The sequence below is a fragment of the Homo sapiens genome, chromosome X (genome assembly GCF_000001405.40).
Source record: "Homo sapiens chromosome X, GRCh38.p14 Primary Assembly".
NCBI lineage: Eukaryota > Metazoa > Chordata > Mammalia > Primates > Hominidae > Homo > Homo sapiens.
In genome coordinates this window covers 111734312-111761668 of record NC_000023.11, presented here as the reverse complement: position 1 = coordinate 111761668, position 27357 = coordinate 111734312, and the positions used below count along the sequence as shown (strand labels likewise).

The 27357-nt window shown below is 36.7% G+C and overlaps 1 protein-coding gene across 36 annotated transcripts in view; it reads right to left on the bottom strand.

Moving 5' to 3' along the window:
* ALG13 (ALG13 UDP-N-acetylglucosaminyltransferase subunit) overlaps positions 1020 to 27357 on the bottom strand; it is a 79480-nt gene continuing 53142 nt past the window's right edge. For 14 of the 36 annotated variants that reach the window (XM_011531031.2, XM_006724698.4, XM_011531028.3 and 11 more), the window contains 7 exons: positions 27230 to 27301; positions 26547 to 26618; positions 24790 to 24955; positions 16765 to 17001; positions 8839 to 8879; positions 3907 to 4081; positions 1020 to 1935 (listed from right to left, as the gene is read on the bottom strand). In XM_011531031.2, the coding sequence (XP_011529333.1) occupies positions 1670 to 1935; positions 3907 to 4081; positions 8839 to 8879; positions 16765 to 17001; positions 24790 to 24955; positions 26547 to 26618; positions 27230 to 27301 (1029 nt within the window). In that variant the 3' untranslated portion in view covers positions 1020 to 1669. Of the gene's footprint in view, positions 1936 to 3906; positions 4082 to 8838; positions 8880 to 16764; positions 17002 to 17843; positions 17870 to 24587; positions 24688 to 24789; positions 24956 to 26546; positions 26619 to 27229; positions 27302 to 27357 lie in introns of those variants that run through there. The other 22 variants (NR_148693.2, NM_001257237.2, NM_001324293.1 and 19 more) reach the window with 9 other exon arrangements.

The window sequence follows — 27357 nt, the reverse complement described above, 5'->3', positions numbered from 1 at the left end:
AAGCCAAAGCCAAGCCAGGCCTTCAGAGATACAAGATTAAGTCTAAAAACAAAAATGGTAAGATGTGACAATGTCTGGACTCAGAAAACAATACCCCCGAATGAAGGCCTCAGTAGCAAGTTTTTCTCTGACCTTCTCCTGCCCTCCTATCTCTCAGTCTCCTTCTTCCCCAAAGCTAGCCATAGAAACTAGAATCCCTCTTCCCCAAGGTGGGTCATAGAAACCAGAACCCCTTTTTCCTGAAAGCCAGCCATAAAACCTAAAAATATTACTCTAACTTTTCTAAAACCTAAAGATATTACTCCACCTTTCTGTGTAAAAACTGGTCATAAAAAACTATCTGATTTACCTGGTTTGACTGTCATAAGACCCCCTATTCCAGAGAGGATCCTGTCCCACACCCAGAAGGAAGGAATGTGTGCTCAGAGAGGGCAAGAATACAAACAAGCCTTGTTGGGTTTCCCCTACTCAAGTCCATTAGCAGATCATACCCTTTTTGTCCAATGATATTTCTAATGGCTGTCCATACTTCATTGAAGCTAAGCATAAAAAATGGACAATTTCCCCTGTATTTTTGGGTCTCCATTCTGAAGGTTCCCATGTACACATTAATAAAATTTGTACGCCCTTTCTCTTTATCTGCCTTTTGTGAGCTGAGTTTTTGGTGAACCTTTAGAGGGTGAAGGAGTTTTCCCTTGGCTCCTACAACTATTGAAAGTATAGGATAATGAGAAGTCTGAAGTTCTATAAGAGGGTTATAAATGCTTTAAAAAAACACACACACACATACAACATAAAAGGAACATTTTCTGGAGAAAAGGCGTAGATATGGTAGTATGTGCTGCAATGACTCTAGATTAAATAACATCTCAAGTGGCCCTGCAACTACTCCCCACCAGTTCATGCTAAAAATTCACATTCTTTTGCAACCAAAATGCCAGAGAAAAAACATGTTGAAACAATCAAATGTCCGGTACTCTTTGCTGACATGAAAATGCAAAAAGAAAAAATCCCACTCGTTTTGGCAATTTTAAATGCTAATTTTTATTTACTGCTAACTGTGCAAAAGACACCAATTCAATACAGTGCAGTAAAACACTTACATACATCCAGTATTAAACAATAGCATATGGGATAAATCTAAAGCAGAGAACCATGTGCCTTCAAAACTGATATCACAGAATGCAACTGGCTTCAGATAATTCTCAAGAAACGTGAAGAGCTCTTTAATTTAATATTAAGTGAGTTATCCAGAAGCAAAGGCTCTTGGTTTTACTTTCTAGAAAAAAGTGGAAGTTACTCCAATTCTGCATGGTTTAATATGATGTGTGATTTTTGAACCAATGAAATACTTTATATTCATTTTATCAATTGGTACCATCAGCTAATATAAAGCTGACAAATGGCTGACAGGAAAACAGCTGAATACAATGAAGTATGCTCAATATGGGGCTAGTTGTACATCCATCTCAATTTCCTTAGTCACAGCCCAAAATAATACCCCTTAATTTTAAAGTACTATTTTAAATCAAAAGATAAAATAATTTTAAAGACAAATACAATAGTAAACACTAATCACCTAAATCATTTAACCACTAACATAAAATACTTTTTAAAAACAAAAACAGCAAGAAAATGGCAGTGCAAGAATACTTCATACTGCTGGATCTTACATACCCTGAGGTACATAATGAGAAGCTGGGGGAGATGGAGCAATACAGCCAATTGGCCCAGGATTTATAGCACCATGAATTTGAGAAGAACCACCATATGCTGTACCAACTGGATGCCAGGGGGGAACACAGGAATAATCTGGCACAACCGGAAGGCAGGAGTCAAAACCTGGCAAAGGTGGCTGCCCATAGGGATCTGACATTACTGGATAATAGACTGCTCCATGAGGGACAGATGAAGAATCAGCATTCGGAAAAGTATCTGAAAGAAAGGATGTATACAGTCTACTTTATATACAAAAATTCACCAAAACAGAACCCCATGCAACATAAATGGATGTTCTTATGTGTGAAAATAAAACTAACTATAAGAAAGATCACAGCAATTGCAGCAGGAGCACTTTAAATACAAATAATGAGTAAAGATAATATGAAAATTTCCAAATTAAAAAACTGTGAAATATATGTGTCAAATCTATTCAATGTACAGACAGCTATCTTTCTGGGATGATTTAGGTATCAGCAAGCTAAATACATAAATATTCTTTAGAGTCCTTCTAGTTAATTAAATTCTTGTAAGAGGTGGTCACAATTGAGTTATCCAATAGTTTTACAGTATACATCATCCGAATAACCATTTAGCAATGAAAAACTCAGGTGTCTAGACATTCTGGTCTATACCTGAAAGTATAGCTCTGAAGAACACCCTAAAAGTGTCATCTCCTGAATGTCATTAAGATCACATTTTAATTTCATAGCACTTTTGCCATGAGTCAGTTCCAGTAGAAATAAATGCTGTTTTAACCTTGCTATAATGAGTATACACATTAGACAAAAAAAAAAAAAAAAAATTCATTACTTGGGCTTAGATTAACTCTGTGAAATTAAGACTGCCACTGCCTCATAGTTAACTACAATTAAAAATAGCTCTATAAAAGGTATACTGCACAAAATTCAAAAAAAAAAGATTGACACTGTAATATGCTTTAAAAATGGAAAGGAAGAGAGAAATTAGTATTCCTAATATGCACCAGGTAATAGTATACTTATACATAAGGTCCCAATTAGTTCTTATAACAACCCTGGCAAGTCAGGTACGAACTCCTGACCTCAGGTGATCCACCTGCCACAGCCTCCCAAAGTGCTGGGATTATAGGCGTGAACCACCGCACCTGGCTCAGTGAAGTATTTTAATACCTAGCCTTTCAGATAATTGTAGATATTCTTTGATGCTACACCCAAACTACATAAGTGGTAGTTCCTCAAAGGTCACTAGCAATGTGGATTTTTCATGCTCTGTTACATTAAAATCCACTGTTTTATCTTGCACTTGGAAAGATCTGTTACAAAAATCACACCTTGGTCATATCATGCATTGGTAATTGGGAAACTCTTCCTTCACTGAGTTATGCAGATCTTCCAAATGTTGACACATTTCCTCATACAATTTAAGAAACTACATTCAGCTCTACTTATCTTATTACAGGAGTTTTAATTGGTGGGAAGGTGTCAAGCTCATGGTGGAAGATACATGTTTTCCAAAATTCTAATTTTTATTTGAAAGCTAAAATTGTATCTTTGGCAACAAATATTACTAGTTATTTATCCTAAAGTGACAGGCTCACTTTGTTCATTTAAGAAAATGCCGGCCAGATCAACTAAGTGTGAATAATGATAGCTTATCCCTCTTTCAAGTCAGCAAGTACAACTCATAACTTAATAGCACAAGTCTTTTTCCTTAAGTTAATCATTATACTTCATTTAGTATGCAGAAGTGTTTTATAAGTAGTTCCATTTTTGTCACAAAGAAAAATACAACTATTCAAGGATAAAAATTTAGTAAAAATGTCTTTGATTAAACAAAAAAACATAAGATTGGCATTTTTGTACCATGGGTGTGTGGCAGTGAGAAAAACACTGATTACTAGCAGAGTCTGGGGTCAGTACCAACTAGTGCTTAGGTGTCAGCAGTTTTACCCACCACTGGTTTCTATGTCCTCAATGAAAATGCAAGCCAGTGAAAGGGGCAAATAAACTCTTAGTATTATTGTGAACACTTCTGACCTCATGAATCCCTTGAAAGAGTCTTAGGGACCACAAGAGGTCCACATATCATGCTTTGAGAATCACTGGTGTAGTACATGGACCTGATGAAATATATGAAAGCTATTATTGAATTACACACAATAAAATCCAACTGTCTTTCTTGCTGGCAATCTCATTACACACTCACCATTTGCTGATGCTTCCGCCTGTATGCCATCTTCTCTCCTCACCTCACTGTAGCATTGAGGAACGGTTTGATCTACCAGAGGTGGCTCAGTATAGACTGGATAATTCTCTACATGAAGCTGCTGCTGCATCTGTGGCACATAGACCATGGAGTGCCAGTAGCTGTGGTAATAGCACTTGAGCAAGAAAGGGCAACAAAAAAATAAGAAACTTCACTCTTCTCTATTCTTAATGTAATACAGTTCCCCACAGACAAAAAAAAAAAAAAAATAAGAATTGGGCCACGATTTTCAGGTGAGGTAGCAATGACTTTTTTGACCTAAAAACTTGACAGTCTGTTCTCTATTAGAACTTTAGGATCTTTTGCAGCATTTGTATCTCATATTTAAACCTAAGAATTCTTTTAGGAAATAATCTAAAAGACCTGTATACAAAGGTGTCTTTTATAGTATTTTTAAAAGCAAAAAACATTGCACATAGTATTTAACAACAGGGAACTGGATAAATTATATACCCGTAATGAAATACTATACAGGCAACGAAAATCATGCTGTCAAATATTTAAAGAAAAAATGCTTGTATTGTTAAAAGATTTAAAAATTATACAGCATAATCCATAGTTTGTAAAATACAAAATTGTAAGAAAATATATAAAGTATACAGTGATCATAGAGGTGATTTTAGTTTTCTTTATACCACAGTATTTTCAAAATGTACTACAATGGACACTATGATTTCTAATAAGAAAAATACTGAAATATCTATTCAGCATCTCCTGGTATTCTATGATGTAAAAGGCAGAATATTTTTAAATGCCTCAGTGAAATAGATTACAAAGTTTCCACATGTGACTATAATAAACTAACATAACAGAAGGGGCAAGCGGTTTATCAATTCTTGAAACTAAATTTAGGAAAAATAGTCTCAAAGAACAAAAACCCACCCCATTACTCTTAATTTATAGATGTGTACTATTTGGGAAGACAGTTTTCTTGGCACTGACATGTCTAAAGCTTCAGGGAAATCAGTGTCAGGGAATATGAACTAATCTGAGCATTATCCAGGAGAGCACAGAGTTTATCATCATCTGACAGATCTTAAGATGCATTATTCCTTTCAGTAAATATGCCATCTTGTTACATTTTAAGTCAAGTGTATTTCAGAGGGAAAGTGATCCCTGAAAGACTAAAATAAAAGAGCTCTCACCTCAACTCGGAGACACCTTTCACTGATAAAGACATTTGTCAGTACCCACCTGCCTCTACAACTCAGGGGAGTGGTGAAAAAACAGTGTTGAGCAAGCATCTATGAACACATGAGTGCTTTAAAAATGCAGCTATTTTTATTTTTATATTTATTACACAAGTTTTGGGATACACATGCAGAACATGCAGGTTTGTTACATGGGTATACATGTGCCATGGTGGTTTTCTACACCCATCAATCTGTCACCTACATTAGGTATTTGTCCTAATGCTCTCCCTCCCTTTGCCCCCAACCCCGCGACAGGCCCCAATGTGTGATGTTCACCTCCCTGTGCCCGTATGTTCTCACTGTTCAACTCCCACTTATGAGTGAGAACATGCGGTGTTTGGTTTTCTGTCCTTGTGATAGTTTGCTGAGAATGGTTGCCAGCTTCATCCATGTCCCTACAAAGGACATGAACTCATTCTTTTTTATGGCTGCATAGTATTCCATGGTGTGTATGTGCCACATTTTCTTTATGCAGTCTATCATTGATGGGTATGTGAGTTGGTTCCAAGTCTTTGGCATTGTGAATAGTGCTGCAGTAAACATACATGTGCATGTGTCTTTATAAAATGATTTATAATCCTTTGGGTATATACCCAGTAATGGGATTGCTAAATCAAATTGTATTCCTCATTCTAGATCCTTGAGGAATTACCACACTGTCTTCCACAATGGTTGAACTAATTTACACTCCAACCAACAGTGTAAAAGTGTTCCTATTTCTCCACATCCTCTCCAGCATCTGTTGTTTCCTGACTTTTTAATGATTGCCATTCTAACTGGCATGAGATGGTATCTCATTGTGCTTTTGATTTGCATTTCTCTAATGACCAGTGATGAGTTCTTCCTGTTTGTTGGCCACATAAATGTCTTCTTTTGAAAAGTGTCTGTTCATATTCTTTGCCCACTTTTTGATGGGGTTGTTTATTTCTTGTAAATTTAAGTTCCTTGTAGATTCTGGATATTAGCCCTTTGTCAGATGGATAGATTGCAAAACTTTTCTCCCATTCTGTAGGTTGCCTGTTCACACTGATAGGTTCTTTTTCTGTGCAGAAGCTCTTTAGTTTAATTAGATCCCACTTGTCAATTTTAGTTTTGCTTTTGTTGCCATTGCTTTTGGTGTTTTAGTCATGAAGTTTTTGCCCATGTCTATGTCCTGAATGGTAATGCCTAGGTTTTCTTCTAGGGTTTTTATGGTTTTAGGTCTTACATTTAAGTCTTTAATCCATCTTGAGTTAATTTTTGTATAAGATGTAAGGAATGGGTCCAGTTTCAGTTTTCTGCATATGGCTAGCCAGTTTTCCCAGCACCATTTATTAAATAGGGAATCCTTTCCCCATTCCTTGTTTTTGTCAGGTTTGCCAAAGATCAGATGGTTGTAGATGTGTGGTGTTATTTCTGAGTCCTCTGTTCTGTTCTATTGGTCCTATTGGTCTATATACCTGTTTTGGTACCAGTACCATGCTGTTTTGGTTACTGTGGCCTTGTAAAATAGTTTGAAGTCAGATAGCACGATGCCTCCAGCTTTGTTCTTTTTGCTTGGGATTGTCTTGGCTATATGGACTCTTTTTTGGTTCCATATGAAATTTAAAGTAGTTTTTTCTAATTCTGTGAAGGAAGTCAATGGTAGCTTGATGGGAATAACATTGAATCTATAAATTACTTTGGGCAGTATGGCCATTTTCATGATATTGATTTTTCCTATCCATAAGCATGGAACGTTTTTCCCTTTGTGTCCTCTCTTATATCATTGAGCAGTGATTTGTAGTTCTCCTTGAAGAGGTCCTTCACATCCCTTGTAAGTTGGATTCCTAGGTATTTTATTCTCTTTGTAGCAATTGTGAATGGGAATTCACTCATGGTTTGGCTATTATTGGTGTATAGACATGCTTGTGATTTTTGCACACTGATTTTGTGTTGCACACAACTTCAACTTTGCTGAAGTTGCTTATCAGCTTAAGGAGCTTTTGGGCTGAGACAATGGGGTTTTTAAAATATACAGTTATGTCATCTGCAAACAAAGACAAAGTGACTTCCTGTCTTCCTATTCGTATACCCTTTCTTTCTTTCTTTCTCTTACCTGACTGCCCTGGCCAGAACTTCCTATACTATGCTGAATAGGAGTGGTGAGAGAGGACATCCTTGTCTTGTACCGGTTTTCAAAGGGAATGCTTCCAGCTTTTGCCCATTCAGTATGATATTGGCTGTGGGTTTGTCATAAATAGCTCTTATTAATTTGAGATACATTCCATCAATACCTAGTTTATAGAGAGTTTTTAGCATGAAGGGGTGCTGAATTTTATAGAAGGCCTTTTCTGCATCTATTGAGATAATCATGTGGTTTTTGTCATTGGTTCTGTTTATGTGATGGATTACATTTATTGATTTGCATATGTTGAACCACCCTTGCATCCCAGGGATGAAGCCAACTTGATTGTGGTGGATAAGCTTTTTAATGTGCTGCTGGATTCGGTTTGCCAGTATTTTATTGAGGATTTTCACATCGATGTTCATCAGGGATATTGGCCTGAAATTTTCTTTTTTTGTTGTGTCTCTGCCAGGTTTTGGTATCAGGATGATGTTGGCTTCATAAAATGAGTTAGAAAGGAGTTCCTCTCTTTCTATTGATTGGAATCGTTCAGAAGGAATAGTACCAGCTCCTCTTTGTACCTCTGGTAGAATTCGGCTGTGAATCCATCTGGTCCTGGACTTTTTTTGGTTGGTAGGCTATTAATTACTGCCTCAATTTCAGAACTTGTTATTGGTCTACTCAGGAATTCGACTTCTTCCTGGTTTAGTCTTGGGAGGGTGTGTGTGTCCAGGAATTTATCCATTTCTTCTAGATTTTCTAGTTTATTTGCATAGAGGTGTTTATAGTATTCTCTGATGGCAGTTTGTATTTCTGTGGTATCATTTTTTATTGTGTCTATTTGATTCTTCTCTCTTTTCTTCTTTATTCACCTGGCTAATGGTCTATCTATTTTGTTAATCTTTTCAAAACAAACCAGCTCCTGGATTCAGATTTTTTGAAGGGTTTTTTGTGTCTCTATCAGCTCTGCTCTGATCTTAGTTATTTCTTGTCTTTTGCTAGGTTTTGAATTTGTTTGCTTTTGCTTCTCTAGTTCTTTTAATTGTGATGTTAGGGTGTTGATTTTAGATATTTCCCAGTTTCTCATGTGGGTATTTAGTGCTATAAATTTCCCTCTAAACGCTGCTTTAGCTGTGTCTCAAAGATTCTGGTACATTGTGTCTTTGTTCTCATTGGTTTCAAAGAACAAAATACAGTGCCTTAAATTTCTTCAAATTTGTCTAATTTTCACATAAAATGGAAAGATAGTCATAAAAATATTTTAGGATAATTCATTTATTTTGAGACAGAACACCACAGTGAAAAGTTAGCATGTAATGTTAAATATGATGGCTCATCTAATATATGCTGATTGTGCTGCTTACAGCCCAGTACCCCTCTCTTCAGTTTAACGACTATTTTATAAGAGAAACTAAAGCACTGGGAGGCTAAAGCAGACAACTGAACTATGTCATCTTCAGAGATCTCTTAGACAGAATTAAAATGTTTAGTCCCCTTAGTGATTTTGGCTTTCGAAGTTCAAGAGTCTGATTATCAAAACGGTCTATACTTTGAAAATAGGGCTTATCAAAGAAATTTTAACATGGCACTTACCTGCAATCCTAGATTGAAATAGTACTGCAAAACTTTTGTATCTAAAATTAAAAATCAAAAAAATTAGTGACTTGACTGACATAAGCAATTAGAATTATCTTTTAAAAGCTTTTCTGGCTGGGCACGGTGGCTCATGCCTGTAATCCCAGCACTTTGGGAGGCCTAGATGGGCAGATAACTTGAGGTCAGGAGTTCAAGACCATCCTGGCCAACATGGTGAAACCCTGTCTCTACTAAAACTACAAAAATTAGCCGGACGTGGTGGCGGGTGCCTGTAATCCCAGCTACTCAGGAGGCTGAGGCAGGAGAATCACTTGAATCTGGGAGATGGAGGTTGCACTGAGCCGAGATCATGCCACTGCACTCCAGCCTGGGTGACAGAGCGAGACTCCATCTCAAAAAAGAAAAAAAAAAGCTTTTCTGTTTGAGCATTATTAAGATATCAATGTAATCTTGCCACATTAATACCACTCTCAATTTTACCTTATAGTAAATGACTACTTACCTACCAATATAGGTAAAATTATTTTCTCATCTACGGTTTAGTTACCAAATAAAATTTTTATTTCTAATCTTAATTGTAGGCAGATGTTACAGGAATGTCACTTTGGTAATATTTAGGAAGAATCCAATAAAGGCATTTTCTTGTTTGTTTCAAGATGGAATTTTTACTTTAATACACTTCTAGAACATAAACAATCATTTTGGTCCTCAGTTACTAGCACTTATATACAGTACAGACTAATACTCACTGACAGAGATTAGTGATGCCTGCTGAGACAATTAGAACAATATGAAACAATTCATCCTGTTTTTATTTACCATGACTGACATACCACCACCAGAACTCCAAAGAGAAGGGCAATGAGCAAGGTAATTTCTCTTGACGTTATGAAACTAAACTATTTCATAAATGAACAAAAACTGTTCTTAGCATTCCAATTGGACCTCTAAATGTATTTTTATTGTTTGACCTGAGATCCACACATATTTTTATTTATAAAGTAATATAACCTGAGTTCCACTAACAGATGAACTTTTAGAAAATCCCTCTTTAAGTTGGAGACTCCCTACACATACAAATACATTTATTGCCATTTTTTTTTAAAATCAGCTTGTATTTTGACTATTATATAGGAGCACAGCATAAAGCCTAATGCTCAAGCTACATAATATTTTAAAAAAATAGTAGGAAATAAATTCATGAGTGGCATGGGATTCTACTTGATACATGTATGTATCAAATAACTTGTATACACAAACGCACGTAGCAGTATTAATAGCCAGAAAGTAAAAGCAACCCAAATGTTCCTCAACTAATAGATAAAATATGATACAGACATACTTTGGAGATATCATGGCTTTGGTTCCAGAAAAAAATAAAGCCAATATTGCAAGGAAGTGAGTCACACCAATTTTTTGGTTTCCCAGTAAATATGCTTATGTACTGGGCGTTATGCTTATGGCCGGGCGTGGTGGCCCAGGCCTGTAATGCCAGCACTTTGGGAGGCCAAGGTGGATGGATCATGAGGTCAGGAGATCGAGACCATTCTGGCCAACATGGTGAAACCCCGTCTCTACTAAAAATACAAAAATTAGCCAGGTGTGGTGGCACGTGCCTGTAATCCCAGCTACCCGGGAGGCTGAGGCAGGAGAATCACTTGAACCTGGGAGGTGGAGGTTTCTGTGAGCTGAGCTCGCGCCACTGCACTTCAGCCTGGCAACAGAGCAAGACTCCGTTGCAAAAAAAAAAAAAAAAAAAAAGTTATGCTTATACACTATACTGTAGTCTTTTAAGAGTATAATAGTGTTAGGTCTAAGAAAACAATGTACATACCTTAATTTTAAAATATGTTATTGCTGGCCGGGCACAGTGGCTCACGCCTGTAATCTCAGCACTCTGGGAGGCCAAGGCAGGCGAACCACTTGAGGTCAGGAGTTCGAGACCAGCCTGGCCAACATGGAGAAACTCCATCTCTACTAAAAATACAAAAAATTAGCTGGGCATGGTGGCGGGTGCCTGTAATGCCAGCTACTTGGGAGGCTGAGGCAGGAGAATTGCTTGAGCTCGGGAGGCAGAGGTTGTAGTGAGCCAAGATTGCACCACTGCACTCCAGCCTGGGCGACAGAGACTCTCCATCTCAAAATAAATAAATAAATAAATAAATAAATAAGTAAATAAACAAACAAACAAACAATACAATACAATACTGCTAAAAAAATGCTGACAGAAATGAAGGGAGAAAAGGGAGAACATGTTGTTGGAAAAATGGTGCCAATAGATTTGCTTGACACAGGGTTCTCACAAATCTTCAATTTGTAAAAAAAATAAAAATCACAATATCTGTAGAACACAATAAAGCAAAGTGCAACAAAATGGAGTATGCCAATACATCCATACAATGCAATTTTTTTGGCCATAAAAAAGAATAAAGTACTGATACATGCAACAACATGAACCTTGAAAATAGTATGCTTAGAGAAAAAAAGTTAGTTGCAAAAGCCCACATATTGTATGATTCTATTTACATGAAATGTCCAGAATAGGCAAATCCATGGCCAAACTAGAGGAGCGATTGCTAAGGCCAGGGAGAATGGGGAGCACCTACTAACGAATACATGATATATTCTCGGGGTTAGTAGAACTTAGATGGAAGTGAATGGGGAAAGAATTTGAGTTGAAGCACCACGCCAGCAAAGGCTTAGGAGAAAAAAACCTGCTACATAGAGTTCACATAGGAGTAGAAAGAGATAAGGTTGGAATAGAGACTAGATTGTGGAAAGTCATAAATGCCATACTTAGTCTGTTGAACTTTAATCTACAGAAACCAAAGAATCACTGAAGAGTTCTGAGCTAGGAACAGACACAAAGTGGAATAGTACCAGAGCAGTGAGACCAATGGAGAAGCTACTCTAACTGTTCAGGGACAAGGTGATAAAGGCATGACCTAGGAAAGAGGCAGTGGATATTTTTTAAAAACACTCTGTGAAACACAGATTTTTAATAAATCAGCCAAGGGTAACATGCAAAAATCAATTTTATTTTTATGTACAGGACAAAATTGGAAAATAAAAGTTTTAAAATTCTGTTTACTACAGTTCCAAAAACCCAAATACATAGGGACACATTTAACAGAAGATGTAGAAGACTTCTACACCAAAAAAAAAAAAGTTGAGAAACCAAACGCAACCTAAATAAATTGACGGGTATACTATGATACTATGTTCATGAATTCAAAGAGACCATACTGTTAAGAATTGGCATTCTCCCCAAATTGAGCCATAGATTATAAACACAATCCCTAATTTCCAGACGTTTTTTTTTTTTTGGTAAAATTTGATAGTGTAAGAGACATGCAAATGACCCTACCTTACTTCAAACCTTACTAAAAAGACAGTATAGTACTGATGTAAGGATTAAAAAATTGATCAATGCAACAAAAGAGGGCACAGAAATAGACCTGCACTTAAAACAGTCATTTGATTTTTGACTAAAACACCAAAGTGATCCAACGAGGAAAGGAAAATCTTTTTCACAAATGGTACTGCTGGAATACTGGAGATCCATAAAGAAAAAAAAATCACCTCCACCATCCACAAAAATGAATTTGAGATGAATAGTGGACTTAAACATAAAACTAAATGAATTAAGCTTTTAAAGGAAAACATAGGAAACAATCATAACGACTTTGGAGTAAGACAAATAAGGCCAAGGTTTTTTGTTGTTTTTTTTGTTTTTTTAAATTAAGTCAGAGTTTCGCTCTGTCACCCAGGCTGGAGTGCAGTGTGGCATGATCTCGGCTCAGTACAACCTCCACCTCCTGGGTTCAAGTGATTCTCCGGCCTCAGCCTCCCGAGTAACTAGCATTACAGGTGCTCACCACCTCTCCCAGCTAATTTTTGTATTTTTAGTAGAGACAGGGTTTCACCATGTTGGCCAGGCTGGACTCGAACTCCTGACCTCAATTGATCTGCCTGCCTTGGCTTCCGAAAGTGTTAGGATTACAGGTGCCAGCCACCATGCCCGGCCAGTTGCTTAGATTACAGAAAGCAATACACACCAAAAAATGATCAATTAGATTCCATCAGAATTAAAATCCTCTACCCATCAAAAGGCACCATGAAGAAAATAGATAAGCCACAGAATAGGAGCAGATATTCACGAAACATACCTGACAAAAGACTAGCATAGAGAATATGCAGAGAACGTCTGCAACTCAATAACAAGCACCCAATAAAAAAGAAAGTAGTCAAAATATGTGAACACTTTACAAAAAATATGCAAATGGCCAATAAGCACATGAAAAAAGTACTCAAACAACTGGACATCCACATGCAAAAATATGAATCTACACACACTTTACATACTTCACAAAAAGGTCACTCAAAATGGATCACAGACCTAAAAGTAAAATGCAAAACATAAAACTCCTAGACGATAACATAGGAGAAAATCTAGATGACCCCAAGACTGGCGATTACTTTTTAGATACAATACCATAGGCATGATCCATAAAAGAAATAATTTATATGTTAGAGTTCTTTAAAATTAAAAACATCTGCTCTGTGAAAGACACTTAATGAAAAGACAAGCCACAGACTTGGAAAAAATACTTGCAAAAGACATACCTGATATAATGGACTGTTACCCAAAATATACAAAGAACTCTTAGAACTCAATAAGTAAACTACCTGAATTAAAAATGGGCCAAACATCTTAACAGATGTTTCACCAAAGATATATAGATGGCAAATAAGCACATGAAAAGATGCTCTACGTCGGATTTCATAAGGGAAATGCAAATTAAAACAATGAGATATCATTACACACCTATTAGAATGGCCAAAATCCAGAACACTGACAATACCAAATACTGGCATGGATGTGGAACTACAGGAACACTCATTCATTGCTGGTGGGAATGCAAAATGGTATAGCCACTCTGGAAGACAGTTTGACAGTTTCTTACCAAATAAAACATATTCTTACTCAATAGAGCAATTGTAATCCTTGGTGTTTACCCAAAGGAGTTAAAAATATATTTCCACAGGGCGTGGTGGCTGACACCTGTAGTCCCAGCACTTCAGGAGGCCGAGGTGGGTGGATCACGAGGTCAGGAGTTCAAGACCAGCCTGGCCAACATGGTGAAACCCCATCTCTACTAAAAATACAAAAATTAGCCAGGTGTGGTGGTGGGTGCCTATATTCCCAGCTGCTCAGGAGGCTTAGGCAGGAGAATTGCTTGAGCCCGGGAGGCAGAGGTTGCAATGAGCTGAGATCACGCCACTGCATTCCAGCCTGGGTGACAGAGCAAGACTCCATCTCTCTATATATATTTCCACAAAAAAACTTGCATATGGATGTTTAGGGCAACTGTAACCAAAAGTGGGAGCAACCAAGATGTTATTCAGTAGGTGAATGGATCTATAAACTGTGGTACATTCAGATAATGATTTGGTGAGGAAACTTAAATATATATTGCTAAGAGCCATTCTGAAAAGGCTATATATTGCATGACTGCACCTATATGCCATTCTGGAAAAGTCAAAACTATGGAGACAGTAAAAAATCAGTGATTGACAGGAGTTGGGGGATGAATAATAATAGGCAGAGCACAGATTTCTGGGGTAGAAATGCTCCATTATAGCATCCATGTGATGCTATAATTAAGGATACATGTCATCATTCATTTTTCCAAACTCATGAAAGTGCAAGAGCAAGAATGAACACTAATATAAACTATGGCCTCTGGATGATAATGATGTGCCAAGGTAGGTTCATCATTGTATCAAATATTCCACACTCTGGTATGGTGGGGGACACTGATAATATGGAAGGCTACGGACATGTGGGGGCCGGTGGAAAATGGGAAATCCCTATGCCTTCCTCTCAATTTGGCAAGAAACAGAAAACTGCTCTATAAAATAGATTTTTTTACAACATGATCAGTCACCAGAATGGATAAAGTTAAGGAGTGTGGCGACAATAAACGTTGGTGAGCAAGAGAAACTACTGGAATTCTCATACGCTGCTGGTGGAAGTGTAAAATGGTACAACTTTGGAAAAATGTTTGGCAGTTACTTATAAAAGTAAACACATATCTCTCTATGACCCAGCAATTCCACTGCTAGGTATTTGCCCAAGGGAAATAAAAACATCTGTTTACAAAGACTTCTACAAGAATGTTCATAGCAGCTTTTTTTGTTAGCAGCTTTTTTTGTAACAGCCCCAAACTGGAAACAGTCCAGCTATCTATCACCAACAGGAGAATGGACAAACTGTGGAACAGTCATACAATGAAATGCTACTCGGCCATGAAAACAAATGGACTACTGACACATGCAACAACAGACAAATCTCAAAATTATGCCAAGTTTAAGAAGCTTTCCATAAAGATTATATACTATATGATTACATTTCTATAAAATTCTAAAACAGGTAAAACTAATCTATGGTAGAAAAAAGTCCAAACAGTGGTTGCCTCTAGGGAGAGCACGGGAAAAACTGGGAAGGAGCATGAGGGAAATTTGTGGGACAATGTTAATACTTTATACTTTGATAGGGATTTGGGTTACACAAGTGCATGCATGCATATGTTAAAAGTAAGCTAATGTGCATTTAAGTTTTGTACATTTCATTATATGTAAACTGCACATCAAAAGGAAAAAACTACTTAATGATATGTATCCTGAAGTTTTTATGGGGAAGTGTACAAATGTCTACAATTTACTTAATGTATCAAAAAGAAGATGGATTAATAGAGATGGATGGAGGGGAAGATGGATAGATATGTGATAAAGTATAAATGTTAATGATAGAATCTAAGTGATAGATATGACTTCATTTTAAAATTCAACTTGGATGAATGTTTGAATATTGTCATAGTAAAATATTGGAAAAATACAAAATCAGCATTATGTGGTGACTAAGTACATCTCGGGTACAGGTAGGTAAGGGAAGGGAGAGTAGTAAAGAAATCAGGGTTTAGATATTGGGAAAATTAGGTGGAAATGATACCACTATTAACAAAATAAAAAACCAAGGAGAAAAGTCAATGTTTTGTGTGGTCTGGGGAAAAGATAAATATGAGGAATTTCATTATTGAAATGAAAACTAAAAAGCTAAGTGAAAATGTCTAGCAAGTATCTGGAGACAAGAAACTAAAACTTCTGATGCCAAGGCTAGCTACATTTAGGAATAAACTACACAGAAGTAACAGGGAAGTTTAAAGGTAGGGAAAAAACAGAAGGGAGTTAAAGAAAATCTTGGTGATTAGGGGTTGGAAAAAAAAAAGCAAAAATAGAGAAGCAGCTAGAAAAACCAAGAAAATATTATAGCAAGAAAGTATAAGCTACAAACAATTCTCAACTATAATTCTCTTGAGAAATATGCCAAACTGAGTAATAAAGAACTTCCAATGAAAAACTACTCTCCTTAGATGTTTAAGAAAACACAGCTGAAATTCAAGGCAGATAAGACTCCTAATCCCCACTCCCCCAAATCTTTAAAATTCAGTTGAAATTCTAAATATAAAAGACTGCAATAATTCATGCACTTATGGAAAGAATTTAAGAAATAAAGAAAAATTTGATACCAAGTCCTGTTTTGCAAGGAAAAACAGTTAAGAAAAGCAAAGATATTCATTTGAGAATCTTCTTCAGGGTAGACATGTAGCTACCAAAACAAAACAAAACAAAACAAAACAGCAGCACACGTCAACTCAACCATCCACTTGTTGATTATGTAGAAGATATTCTCAGTTTTCAGCTTTTAATTGCTCCTTTCCTTAGTCACTTCCAGTATTGTGTTCTCAAGTCAATTTTCATTTGGTTCCCCATTCCCCAATAGGTCAACCAAAGAGAGATATGCTCTAACAATATTTTTTAAGTCTCAGATCCCTCACCTAAGTCTCAAAATCTACTTACCTTGAGGCAAATCACTGCCGCTTGGATCACAGGAATAAGGTGGAGGTGGTAGTGGTGGTGGTGGTTGTAAGTTTGAAGTCTCTCCCACATCAAGAGCAGGAGGAGGAGGAGGAGGAGGAGGAGGAGGAGGAGGAGGTGGTGGTGGTGGTGGTGGTGGTGGTGGTGGTGGTGGTGGTGGTAGAGAGGCACCAGCATGAGGAATAGCAGAATGGCATGGATAGGATGGTGAGGCAATCACTAACAAAGAAACAAAACATAAAGTAGCAATACACAACTATAACACCTTATGAACAGTAGGCTCATCTACTTTTCTTGTCTCCAGTATGGTCAAAGAACTCTTAATTCTTAAGGTTTGGGTATAAAAAAAACTTGGACAGTGAATTGTCTACATTCTCTTAGACATACCAATGGAGAACTAGTTCATAACAGGTCATTTTGATTTAAGAAAAGTATTGGAAATTAAAAGGGAAAAAACTGGAAGAGGCAGAGCTTTGACTATCAGACTTTGAACATTTAGCTAACAGGTACATAAATAAAACATAACTAAAGCAAAATTTTTACTTAGTTTAATACCCAATGCAAATTTAAGAATGTTTTCAGCAATCTGTCACTCTCAGTCAAATCACAAAATGCAGAAGCTAATAAGAGATGGATTAAAGTGCACAGACTACAGATTTTAGCAATCCTTGAAGGTTTCTACTGGTAGCATCTCAGGAATATAGGGAACTTTAAATCATGAACGTTCCATTTCTAAGGAGGTACAGAATCTAAAAACAGGTTAGATACAATATCTTATCCCTTTAGCTTTCTATACCTGTTACTATAGCTTAGAAATAATCAATATTTAAAAGTTTTTGACATAAGAAATTCAGATGTAATTATATTTAAATATTAATCCTCTATGACAATAAAGGAAACAATGTGGTTACAACCTAGTAAAAACACATACCTGCATATATGTATGACATAACACGCAAATTTGTTAATTTTTTTTTTTTACAAAAGATGAATGATACAAACCTTCAAGTTTAACTGAATAATTTTAGCCAGCTTAAATCCAAGTACAAAATTTCATCATTTTGTTATCTGCATTATCATTTTAACCCTGAGAAACATAGAAAGTTTAGTCTTATCATTCTATAAATGTTTAAAGTCAGAGTTTTAGCACACTGAGTTTAGCATAGGAGCATAGGAACAATTCACACAAGCTGAATTTGTTATTCTGATATTTTAGCAAGACATAATCCACATTGTTTCCATTTAGTGACCAGTACTAACAATATACTCATCTTATCTTTTGTACATTTACAGGCTAACAGTAATAGGTCTGTGTCTTCAGGTGATGTAAAACTTGATAAACAACTGTTTAGGAGTGATGCAATTATCTCTTGATTGTGGTGGTGGTTACACAACTCTACGCATTTGTCAAAGCTCACAGAACTGGGCACCAAAAAAATGAATTATACTGTATCTAAATTAAACAGTAAGTTTTTAAAGCTTGCTCAACTAGCTGTTTTGGAGTTTTGTCATATATTTCGAAATCTCTACTTTTACAGTTTTGGGAGGGGAACTTAATTTTCAGAATATCCCCAAATGTTCTAGATACAGATTTTTTTTAAATAAAATGGCTCCTCCAACAAAGCTCTGCTCTTATTCCTTTTAAACTAGCACTGAAAACGTATCATGCCATTTTTTTAAAAAAAAGCAAATGGAGAAAGGCAATTAGCTGAAGATAGTAGAATGTGATTATGATCACTAGGTAAAAACCAAGACATAGAAGTGGCTAAATACATTCTCACGGGCCTGAAAGAATCAAGAGTAGACACAATTTGGAGGTTACTTTGTCTGAATTCACCTTCCTTATAAATGCACAGTATTACAATAAACCCTCTAAGTAAAAGCTTTTACAATTTCAAGTTTCTATAGAGATGCATGAGCTTCTCATCCTCAGACTTAAGAAGAGCTCCACAGGCTTAACAGATACACTTCAAGGGATGTCTCAAGAATTATAGAAACGTCTTCTAAAATACTAGTAGAAATCAACGTAATGCATTCAGAATGCTGATTTCCCCCATCCATGTAGCTGTAGTCTGCTTCAGGACACTTCAGAAGAGAACATAAATATATACAATAAGATACTGCTGCTTCTCTAGAAATCACAGACCAGGGCCAAGGCCAAGGTGTGGTGAGATGCTCCAGTGCAAAATTTAAGGGGCTACCAAAACTAATACAAAGAAAGCTATTATGAATACAACATCAAAATTTTCAGTAAAGACAGGATCCAACCCTGTACTTGTATGACCCCAAGGGTATATGCCTTACTCAATGCACCTTAAACCTGACCCACAGATCCTGTCTTTATTTACAATTGATACTTTGTTCTCAAATTTTTTATATTAATCTTTATTTTTAAAAATGATGAATTAAAGTGTTATTTATCTTGATTACTGTTTTTTTTTTTTTTGGCATTCCATTAAATTTTGCACTCAGGGACAGTCACTGATCCCAGCCCTGGCAAAAGACTTGGGAACATTTACTGAAACCCAGAGTTTGAAGTTGACAGGATTTAATGCCTAAAAGGAGACTCATATTTGAAGGCAATCATCACATCTTGTTACCTGGCAGATTAGCAGTCACTTAAGGATGGAAGGGGCCTGCCAGAGAGACATATGAAGAACAAAGTGGGAAAAATCAGTCGTTTCATCTATAGGATTGACAAGAATGACAAAGAGCAACTAAAAATCAGCCAGATCTAGTAAAGAAGATCTATAGTTGAGGTTCATTAAGTGACTGAGAGAACAAAAAGCAAATAAATGAAGGCAGTATGCATTTTTAGAAAAATCTGGCATTTAAATCGTAATCTTTCAATGATTCCACATAAATAAAACATTACAATGCTTGCTTCATCTGTCACTTGAATTTAAGCTCAGACAGCTGCTAGAAGCAGACAGCAAACATTTTCCCTTACAACTAGCACAAAGTAGTAAAAGTAGTGTCTACATTAACATTTCCAGTGAAAAAAATATATCATCATTAACATTTATTGTATGTTTTTGTTCCAGGCACTGTGCTAAGCACTTTTTTTTTTTTTTTTGAGACAAAGTCTCGCTCTTGCCCAGGCTGGAGTGCAATGATGTGATCTCAGCTCAATGCAAACTCCGACTCCTGAGTTCAAGTGATTCTCTTGCCTCAGCCTCCAGAGTAGCTGGGATTACAGGCATGTGCCACCATGCCTGGCTAATTTTTGTATTTTTAGTAGAGATGGGGTTTCCCTATGTTGGCCAGGCTGGTCTCGAACTCCTGACCTCAGGTGATCTGCCCACCTCGGCCTCCCAGAGTGCTGGGATTACAGGCATGAGCCACCATGCCCTGCTCACTTTATCTTTTTATAAATAAAACAGATACAGCAAACAAATCAAATATACTGCTTAATGAGTTATTTTAATGTGGATACTACCCATGCCTATAAATACTTTTCCCTCCTACCATAACCAACTGTTGTTTTGACTTTAATAGTAATCACTTCCTTGGGGTCTTTTCAGAGTTTTGTCACTCAAATGTGCATCCTTGAACAGCAGTTTTTTAGTCTCATCCATTAAAAAATTGGATATTTCTTGAATGTCTTAATCTATTGGTCCTTCCTCCACCCATTTCCTGACAAGTTCTGCTTTAAAGAACCTGGGCCCTTTGACCTGACAAGCTTCCCATAGTCTGGATTTTGCAGATTACATACTCATGCTGCAATCCAACATGTTATTCTTTATTTCCTGTCAATAGGCAGCTAGATCCAGGAGACTGAATCAAATTCAGGACTGATTCCTTTGGGACATCTATAACATCCATAGCTAATGTTTGACTGACTTTGCAATCTTAGTAGCTACTGATGTTTAATGTCCATCCATTTAATAAGAACTGAAAAATTATTTTCACTTTTTAATTGATTAGTTAGAATACTATTACAAAAAGATACTTCCCCTCATCTATTTGGCTATTCAGTAGTATAGTTCATATAAGGAAGGCAGAATAAATGTTTGATTATTTCATGTTCCAGTTTTCAAGAAAATTAATTGATTTCCTATCATCCTCTTAAAGTAAGCAATTTTTAAAATATCACTAAGAACTTTTATATTCAACATACTTGGTATATTCCAATCTATTGCAATGATCTTTGTTGAGGCTCAAATTGTTCCATCTTTGGCCAGTGGGAATCTCTCTTTGTGATGGTTTCTGAGTCCTTCTGACATAATGCCTATACTCTTTGATATGTTCCTTGCTATCTGGTATGACAAGATGTTCCAGGCTCATCTTGAACATTTCCTGCTCAGACCTGGAATCAGCCATTTCTCCACAGAGCCGTTTATTTTTAAAAGTAATAAATGGTATTTTAAGACCACAAACTCGGTGCTAGGGATACTTATTGTTTTCAGGCCTTTCAGTGGACACAGCGAGGAAACATATATATATATTTAAAGATAAAATATCTCAAGTTCATACTGATACTTCTAATTCAAGTTCAAGACTATAAAAGCTTTTAATTAACCTCTATAACATCTGCATTACCTTTTTTCCACACTAAGAATCCTGGTTCACAAGGACACGGGATAAAATTAGAATATCCCACCATTACTCATTTGCTTTAGCCCACATTACATAGTCTCGGAATAACTTTCTGAGCATCTAAACTAAAGAATCTGATGTGACTGAGAGCATGAAAAAATGCTTTGCCCATATTCTCTCAATTCTATCATTTAAAAAAATAACTACATCTACACCCTCCAAACATAAGGCTATTACATAGTATAGTCTCAACTTCTCAGCCCTCATTTGTCTTACTTCTACAGGTAACTATGTATTTAATACTTACCATCACGTCTTATGTCTCTAATTGTTCTGCCTCTAATTGTTCTGGTACACAATACCAGAACAATGTCTCTAATTGTTCTGGTAGCCTAAAACTCAAAGTTCATTCTCTAGTACACTGTTGTCCAATACAACTTTTTGTGATGATAGAAATATTCTATATCTCTGCTGTCCAATACAGTAGCTACTAGCCACATGTGGCTAATGCAACTGAGGAACTACAGATTTACTCTATTTAACTGTAATTAATTTAGTTTCCACACGTGGCTAGTGATTACCCTGCTTGACAGCACAGTTCTCACAGATTCATCAGGAAGGGCTCATGGGAAGAATATTCTTGGTTTCTCACATGTTGCCCTTTGTGCTTGAAAATCAGTTTGACTGGATACAAAATTGCTGGTTCACATATTCTTTCCTTGAGTATCTTAAATGTTATTCCACTGTCTTCTAGCATAAAGCAATGCTGTCAAAGTTTGATGATTATCATTGTATTTCTCTTATATGCCATAGACTCTTAGATACTTAGGACTTTTTAACTCTAGCAACTTTATTAGAATATTCTGCTGTTTATTGCTCTGGGTCAATATTCTCAGGTATTCAGGGTGCTGTTTCAAGTATGTACTTTTAAAACTTTTTAAACTTATGGTTTGACTCTGTCCCCACCCAAATCTCATCTTGAATTGTAAACTGAGTTGTAATCCCCAGGTGTCAAGGGACAGACCTGGTGGGAGGTGGCTGGATCATGGGAGCGGTTTCCCCTATGCTGTTCTTGTGATAGTGAGTAAATTCTCATGAGATCTGATAGTTTTATAAATGGCAGTTTCTCCTGGTCTTTCTCTCTCTCCTGGTGCCTTGTAAAGAAGGTGTCTGCTTTCCCTTCACTTTCCGCCATGATTGCAAGTTTCCTGAGGCCTCCTCAGCCATGCAGAACTGTGAGTAAATTAAACCTCTTTCTTTTATATATTACCCAGTCTCAGGCATTTCTTTATAGCAGTGTGAAAACAACCTAATACAAAACTTCAGCAAAGTTTTCTAAATTATAGCTTTTAGTATTATTTTGTTCCTTTACTTTGGTTTTTTCAGAGACTTCTGTGTTTGATCTCATTTGCCTAACTTCAAATATGTCGCTTTTAAATCTTTATCTTCATTTTTTTTTTTCAATTTTAGATTTCCCTCTTCTTACATTTTTTTTTTTTTCTAAAGTTTATGGCCGGGTGTGGTGGCTCATGCCTGTAATCCCAGCACTTTGGGAGGCTGAGGTGGGTGGATCACTTAAGCCTAGGAGTTCAAGACCAGCTTGGGCAACATGGCAAGACCCTGTCTCTACAAAAACACAGTAATTAGCCGAGTGTGGTGGCGTGTGCCTATAGTCCCAGGTACTGGGGGGCTGAGGCAGCAGGACTGCTTGAAACCTGGAGATCCAGGCTGCAGTGAGCCATGATCATGTCACTGCACTCCAGCCTTGGTGACAGAGCAATACCCCGTCTCAAACAAAAAAAATTTAAAGCCTAAAGCACTCTTATTTCTCTTAAAGCATTATCTGCTGTACATACAGAGTGGGTATCCCTAATTTGAAAATCTGAAATTCAAACTGCTCCAAATTCCAAAACTTTCTGAGTGCCTACATAGCGCTCAAAGGAAATGCTTATTGGAGAATTTTGGATTTTCAGATTAGGAATGCTCAACAAGCATAATGCAAATATTCCAAAATCTAAAAAAATCCTAAGTCCAAAACACTTCTGGTCCCAAGCACTTTGAATAAAGAATACTCAACCTGTATTTGCTCAAGCTCATTACAGTTTAGTCTCCATTACTAAAATGACCTTCTCCCCTTTATAATTCTTTCCTGAGTTCTATCACCTCAGGTGAGTTTTTCTAATTCTGATTTATGTTATTCTTTAATGTTTTGTATTATTAATATCTTTAGCTCATTTTGAAATAGTTTGTCACAGTTTTTAGTTTATTTAGATCTGTTTAGTGTTTCATTTCTAACATGTTTTCATTGTCTGTAGGGATATTCTGCTTTTTATTCCTTAAGATATATTTGTGTAGCATTTGACCTTAATCCTTTTCTTTTGTTCTTTTCCCTGACCTGCTCTTTTCTCTATCCTGATCAATTCAGATTCCACTCTTAGCAGTTTCTTCCCAGTGAGGAATACTGTCCTAAAAGGGAACTCTGGCAGGTCAATTTTGAAGAGTTAGAGGTTAAACTGTTCTAAGCCCTTCAAGTCCTTCTACTATGTGCCTCATGCACTCACCTAGTATTAGAGAGACCAAATCCCTTCCCAGTTTTGGCTGCTGCTTCCAAATTGTCTGCCCTACTTTTCAGTGAATTCTTATTCATTGGAATTCTCAGGTACATAAGACAACATCCTCAATGCTTCTATGTTCTTGCTCCCTCATAGACCCTGATAGCATGCAGGTCTTGTGACTAGTGGTTTGTCCCTACCTGCTTAAATCCTGGGGTTCATGGGGATACCTTGTCACCTAGATTTTTGTAGGTGTCATGGGTTTTGACTTCACTATTTCCATTTTTATTTTGAGACTCAGAAAAGCTAATGCTGTTGTTGCCACCACCTTCCTAGAAGTCTGCTGATAATTTAAAATTTTATTAACTTACTGAAAAGTCCACAACCACTTCATGAATTGGTACTATCAGTGCCCCCAAGCCACAGATAAAAAGCTTCAATAATTTGTGCAAAATTACACAATAAGTTGTAAAACCAGGATTCTAACCCAGATCTTTTAAATTCCAGAGCCTGTATCTTTTATTATGATATTTACAGGACAATTATTCATTACAAAGGAACGTGTTTTATAGAATAAATTCCTGAAAAGTTTGCTATAAGGTGAGAAGCATCGCTATCTTCACTCTTATATGATAAAACTTAACTCAAAGTTTGAGAAACTAGTACAAGTCCCCTAATTCAGCAGGTAGCAAAATGAAAGGTATAAAATCTTACCAGCACGAAATTTTCAAGAATAAACTTGAATCCCTGACTCTCAAATCTCATGGATTCCTCAATGGCAGAACATAATTAAGTAGGTTAAATAAATTTAATTCTGGAAATTAAAGTAATGGTATGTAATTACCAGAACAGCTGGATGTGCATGTTCATGAATAGGAAAAGAGGCTTCCAAAGTAAGCATCTGCTAATAACCTACCTGGCCTGCCGTGTGTAGGTGGAGATACAAAGAGAGGCTGTATAGCATTCTGTGAGGAAACTGAAGTGGTACTAATAGCTTGATTAGCCGCTGCACCGTTAGATAAGACTGGAGCTGGAACATTATTGGCACAGGAAGCTGCAACTGCTGCAATATTTCCCATCATCTGTAAGTGTGGAAGAAAGTTCAAAACTCTTAAGTTTGGTTTTTCAAACAGTAGATTATCTGATCCTAAACTTCAGAAAATAGTAATTAGTTTAGAAAACTAAAACACTGAAAGTCAATCTTTATGTAAACCTTATATAGGAAGGTTATTTCTTTCAGAAGATCTTAGGTCACTTGAGAGCTTTAATTTTTTAATTCATTTATTTCTAAAAAGGTAATACATTAATATGATTTGAAAATCAAGTATTAAATCGTATACAATGGAAAGTTTCCCTCCAAGCCCTGTCCTGTCTGCCTAGTTGCCCGCTCCCCAAACAGTTAACCTCTGGGCTTCCTGCATATTATTCCAAAGGTTTGTAATTCATTTTTACATGCATATATATTGCCCCACACAAGCAAACACCTTTCTTTGAGACAGGGTCTCACTCCCATCGCCCAGGCTGGAGTGAAGTGGCATGATTTCATTCACTGTAGCCTCAACTTTCCAGGCTCAAGTGATTCTCCCACCTCAGCCTCCTGAGTAGCTTAGGACTACAGTCACGCACCACCACGCACAGCTAATTTTTTATATTTTTAGTAGAGACAGTTTTGTCATGTTGCCAAGGCTGGTGTTGAACCCCTGGGCTCAAGTAACCTGCCCGCCTTAGCATCCCAAAGTGTTGGGATTACAGGCATGAGCCACTGCATCTGGCCTACACTTTTCTCTTTTTTAAAGAGAAAAGGTGCCTTGCATTTTTTATAACATTGTAAGACTGTATTTTTTTTTTTCTGCTTAGGCCACAGCTCCTTAAGAGAATAAACTATTTTTCCACAGCACCCAGTACAGGGCTGTGCACAGAAAGATATTCAGTAAATGGTAACAGATTCTTCTTGAACATACTGTCCTCACTGGGAGTCTCCATTTTCTTCCCACCCAACTGCAGTGTGGCTGCTACCCACACTGGTTCTCTGAAACTGTATTCAAAGTCACCAGTGGTCTCTATGTCAACAAATCTTAGTAGACTTTTGTTAAGTCTTATGTTGCTTGACCTCTTGGCAGCAACTGACACCTGGCTGCTCCTTGAAACATTCTCTTCCTAGGGCTTCCATAATATTCCTCTCTCGTGCTTTTCCTCCCTCTTGGATGGTCCTTCTCTGCCCATTTTCTAAAATTTGATAATCCATGGGCTCTGTTCTAGATGCCCTTCTCAATCTCTTCCTTTGCCCAGGATGATCTTGTTTACTCCTATGGTTTCAGCTACCTTTTTATAATGCTGACTCTCCATTCTACAGGAAAGCTTTAAAATTAAGTTTCAGTTAATGAGACAGAATTGATGGGTAATTTAGATTAACTCACTCTTTATATAAAAGAGGCTCACAGGAGACTATGAGTAATCTAAAGCCAGCACATAGAACAGTGTCTGGAACACAGTAGATGCTCAATAATTTGTTGAATTAATTTACTAATCACTGTGTCAGACACCAGAAGGTACAATAATACCTAAAGGAACAAAAGCAGTTGCTTTGAAGTATGATGAAGGTAAATGAAAAGAGGAAATTCATTTTTCTGTGTTCAGGCCATTGTAACTGCTTAATAACACTATGAGGATTACCTTCTGGGGGTAGTTGTATGAGGTAACTGTGTCCTGAGGAGACATAGAACATGACTTTCTGTCCTGAAGAGACTTTAATACAAAAATATAGTTAAATAAAAAAACAAACAACACATCAATAACTTTGTTTCAACATATTTTAAAACTATATGAAAGTGATCAGTCCTGAAAAAATTCAAATTTGGAAGTGACTCCTAAGACAAAGCTCTAAAAGTTATCACTCTAAAATGTGATGTAGGTGACTGTTTTGTTACATATCTACAGAAATCCTCAACACATCTAACTCAAGTCCTGATGTAGATACTAAAATGTAACTGATAATTGAAATCTAAACAGTCTTTCAGTGATCTTTGCCTTAAAAGCTTGAAGCACCATAGGACCAACAATAGTTTTGCTTAAAAAAAAAAGGCATTCTATCTGAATATGTAGCTTGGTACAAGGGTAAACTGGTTATTCAGTTGCGTTTTATCTAAGCGGGATTTAATAGATATTGTAAGATTCAAATATCATTCTCCTCTGGCTTAAGACCCTGTCTTTCTAAAAGTAAAAATGATTTTGAATGGCTTGGACTCATGCATGATAGACTGTCATGGCAGCAAAAACTCTACCAGCAGAGATTGGTTACATTAGTAAGAGCACAGAAAGAACAGGGAAAGGTAATCACAGCAAACAACAAAAAGTACCTTACTGTGAAAAGGTGAGCCCCACTTAACATGGACAATTCCAAAGTCTGTGTTCAAGTATAGCCAAAGCCCCTGCCAAAAAGCAAACATTTGCCCTGGCTCAGAAGTTCCCAAGTGAATACCAAATG